At 42.3% G+C, this 3512-nt stretch overlaps 1 annotated feature.

Moving 5' to 3' along the window:
• Positions 437 to 1636: an enhancer, noted in NCBI's record as "CDK7 strongly-dependent group 2 enhancer chr16:52662737-52663936 (GRCh37/hg19 assembly coordinates)". NCBI's record gives its function as "activates an origin of replication core promoter dependent on BRD2, BRD4, P300/CBP, MED14 and CDK7 cofactors, with strong dependence on CDK7, by STARR-seq in HCT116 cells {active_cell/tissue: HCT116}" and the evidence as "EXISTENCE:reporter gene assay evidence [ECO:0000049][PMID:35650434]".

Raw genomic sequence — 3512 nt, 5'->3', positions numbered from 1 at the left:
AGCGTTTCATGGGCTTAACACTCTGCAAAAAAGTTGGCAAATGTTGCCTCTGGTGGCGGCAGAATTTTGCATATTTCTCTTGTATTTCCCATCTCTTCTAACCATCTTTTACACTGCTTGTCTTCTTCTTCTCCTCATTTGTCTTCTTTCCTTTTCTCCCACCTGTTCTTCTGCCTCTACCTGCTCTTCCACATCCTCTCATTATTCTACCTTTGCTTCCAATTTCTCCTTCTCTTTTCCTCCCTCTTTTCTTTATTCTCACCTCTCCTCCCTTTCCTATTGTTCCCTCCTCCCCTCTGTTCACTCTCCTCATCCCTTTTCTCTTGTTCTCTTTGGCTTTTCAAGAAGCCAGTGAGTTTTCTTGGACTGGACGACCCAAGGGGATGTCCTGCCTGATTGACAGGTGTCATTCTTGAACAGGAAAGCCAGTGATGGTGCTGCCTGCTCTTCCCAGGTGTGGTGTCAATTTTAGAGTGATGGGCTTTAACATCGCATCAGCCTCCTTAAGGGCCGATCCTTTGTTCTAGATTCAGACAAAGCAGCACAGTCGGCCTTAAAAGAAAAAAAAAAAGCTGTTTCATTTTATATTGGAAAAATACAATGTGACATCTGGAGAATAAATTGTTCAGTCAGCCAGAAATACGCCTTGTAAAAATTGCTTAGGTTTCTGTAACAAGATTATTTACTGCGAGTGTTCACCTATAATACAGCACACTTTTGAAATGGACCTTTTATGAAACACATCAAGAACTGTAGAAATGTATTCAGTGCATTAATCTACAACACTGCACACTTTACCACACTTTTAGAGCAGATTTCAAAACTCAGACCATCTAATGAGATAGAAAAAAGTTATTCTCGTCCTGTATTCATTCCAGTCATGTTCTACACCGAGCCCTTGGGATATTTAACATAATGCAATAGGTTTTTCAACATACACACACCCACACACACACTCACACACACTGTCACACACAGTCTCATGCACAAACAAAATATATGACTGTTCAGATGAGTATTCAGTTTAGAATGCACCAGGCCCATATTTCAACAGCCCACGTGCAAGGCAAAGACTGGCTATTTCAGATACCAGAACTTTATAAATATTTAAAGAACTTGATTTAATCCAAATGAGAGATCGCTCAGGTGCTGTCAGTTACTTACATAACTCCTTCTTTTCTGATCAGGGGGTGACAGTTTGGATAGCGATCTCCTGGCAATTTGAGGATCTGACTCCGTTGGAGTCTGGCAGCTGGGATCAGGCCTGAGGTAGCTGAAGCAGGTGGATTGTGGAGAAGTGGGTCAGGTGGGGGAGGCAGAGAACAGACTCCTGCTTTTCTGACCTTGACTCTTTTTTATGTATTCTGATGACAGCAATAAATTCTTCTAGCTGGGCAACTCAGGAATAGGTGATTCAAGCCCTTCTACCTCAAGGTCAACTCAACTGCCCCTTTGGTTCAGTGGATATCAGCTCTAGAAGATAGAGAACAGAGACCCTGCAAACTGGTCCTCCACGTATCCAATGAGAGGCCCAGACTCTCCACAAAATTCTACTTGGCCTCTTGACCTTAATGTTGTTGCTGGGAGAGCTAACCTGAAGGAAAGAAGCTAGCACAGAAATTCAGGAGAGAAGAAATAGAACCTTCCCTAAATTCTCTCTCCAGTGTCAAAGATTGACTAATTTCTCTGCTACCACTTCCCATCCTCTAGTCATGACCACACTACAAAAGTTGCATTATACTCAAGGTAGGGCTAGTGGCAATTGTGCATCCTCTGCACCTTGGAGGATGGAGTGCTGGAGATAGCTTGCCCAGCCCTGCTTCCTGAGGATCTCTCTCTCTCTCTCTCTCTCTCTCTCTCTCTCTGAAACAGGGTCTCGCTCTGTCACCCAGGCTGGAGTGCAGTGACATGATCACAGCTGCAGCCTCAATCTCCTGGGCTCAACTGATCCTCCAAACTCAGCCTCCTAAGTAGCTGAGACTACAGGTATGTGCCACTAAGCCTGGCCAAAATTTTTTTTTTTTTTTGGTAGAGACAGGCTCTTGCTGTGTTTCTCATGCTGGTCCCGACCTCCTGGCCTCAAGCAATCCTCAGCCCTGAAGATCTCTTCTCTTCTTTAATTTATTAATTTTTATTTTAATAGTTTTGGGGGTTACAGGTGGTTTTTGGTTACATAATTAAGTTCTTCAGTGCTGATTTCTGAGATTTTAGGGCACCCATCTCCTGAGCAGTGTACACTGTATCCAATATGTAGTCTTTTATCCCTCAACTCCCTTCCCCTCTGAGTCCCCAGAGTACATTATGACATTCTTATACCTTTGCATCCTTATAAATTAGCTCCCAATTATAAGAGAGAACATATGATATTTGATTTTCCTTTTCTGAGTTATTTCACTTAGAATAATGGCCTCCAACTTCATCCAAGTTTCTGAGAAAGATATTATTTCTTTCCTTTTTATCACTATATAGATGACATTTTGTTTATCCATTTGTTGGTTGATGGGCATTTAAGTTGGTTCCATATCTTGGCAATTGAGAATTGCATTGCTATAAACATGCACATGCATGTGTCTTTTTCATGTAATGACTTACTTTCGTTTGGGTAGATACCCAGTAGTAGGAGTGCTGGATCAAATGGTAATTCTATTTTTGGTTCTTTAAGAAATCTCCATACTGTTTTCCTTAGTGGTAGTACTAGTTTATGTTCCAGAATAAAAGTGTTCTGAGAGCCTCTTCTTAATGGACTTCAGCATTTTCCATTTTTGTTTTTCTGAGTCTCATACTCTGGGAAACTAACAGCATCCTTGAGAAACTTTCTTCTTCTCATTGCTTCCATTCCTTTCATGGAAATGTTGTCTTCACTCTTTGTGGTCCAACTCAAGACACTTGTCCTTCCTCAAACCTTCCATGACCCTCTGGCTCCCCCTAATTTTTCATTTTTCTGCTTTTTTGAGACAGGATCTTGCTCACTGTGTTGCCAAAGCTGGAGTGCAGTGGTGTTTTCTATCATAGCTCACTGCAGCCTTGACCTCCCTCAAGTGATCCTTCCACCTAAGCCTCCCGAGTAGCTGGGATCACTGGTACACAACCATGGCTGGCTAATTTTTATTTTTCATAGGGATCGGGTTCACCCTGTGCTGTGCAGGCTTATCTTGAGCTGCTGGGCGCAAGTGATCCTACAGTCTTGACCAACCGAAGTGCTGGTATCACAGGAATGAGCCATCACAACTGGTCTTCATTATTGATCCTCTCATGTAATCTACTGGACTGTGCAGTCTAGAAATCCATCAGACATAGCCTTGCCTTATTTTTTACAGCATGTCTTCTCCTGTAGGTTAAGCGGAGGCATAGGGGATAGAAAGACAAGTGCACCAAGAAGAATCAAACTAGGATTCTAATTTTTCCTCCCTCACCATTTTTATGCATCATGTGAACCTTGGTCAAGCACCTTAACCATTCTGAGCCTCAATTTTCTCACCTATCAAAAGAAGGCATTTCTTATATTGCTTGTC

Source organism: Homo sapiens, chromosome 16 (assembly GCF_000001405.40).
Source record: "Homo sapiens chromosome 16, GRCh38.p14 Primary Assembly".
In the NCBI taxonomy this organism is placed as follows: Eukaryota; Metazoa; Chordata; class Mammalia; order Primates; family Hominidae; genus Homo; species Homo sapiens.
Note: the sequence above shows the minus strand (reverse complement) of the source record. Positions and strands in the feature narration are given on the sequence as shown.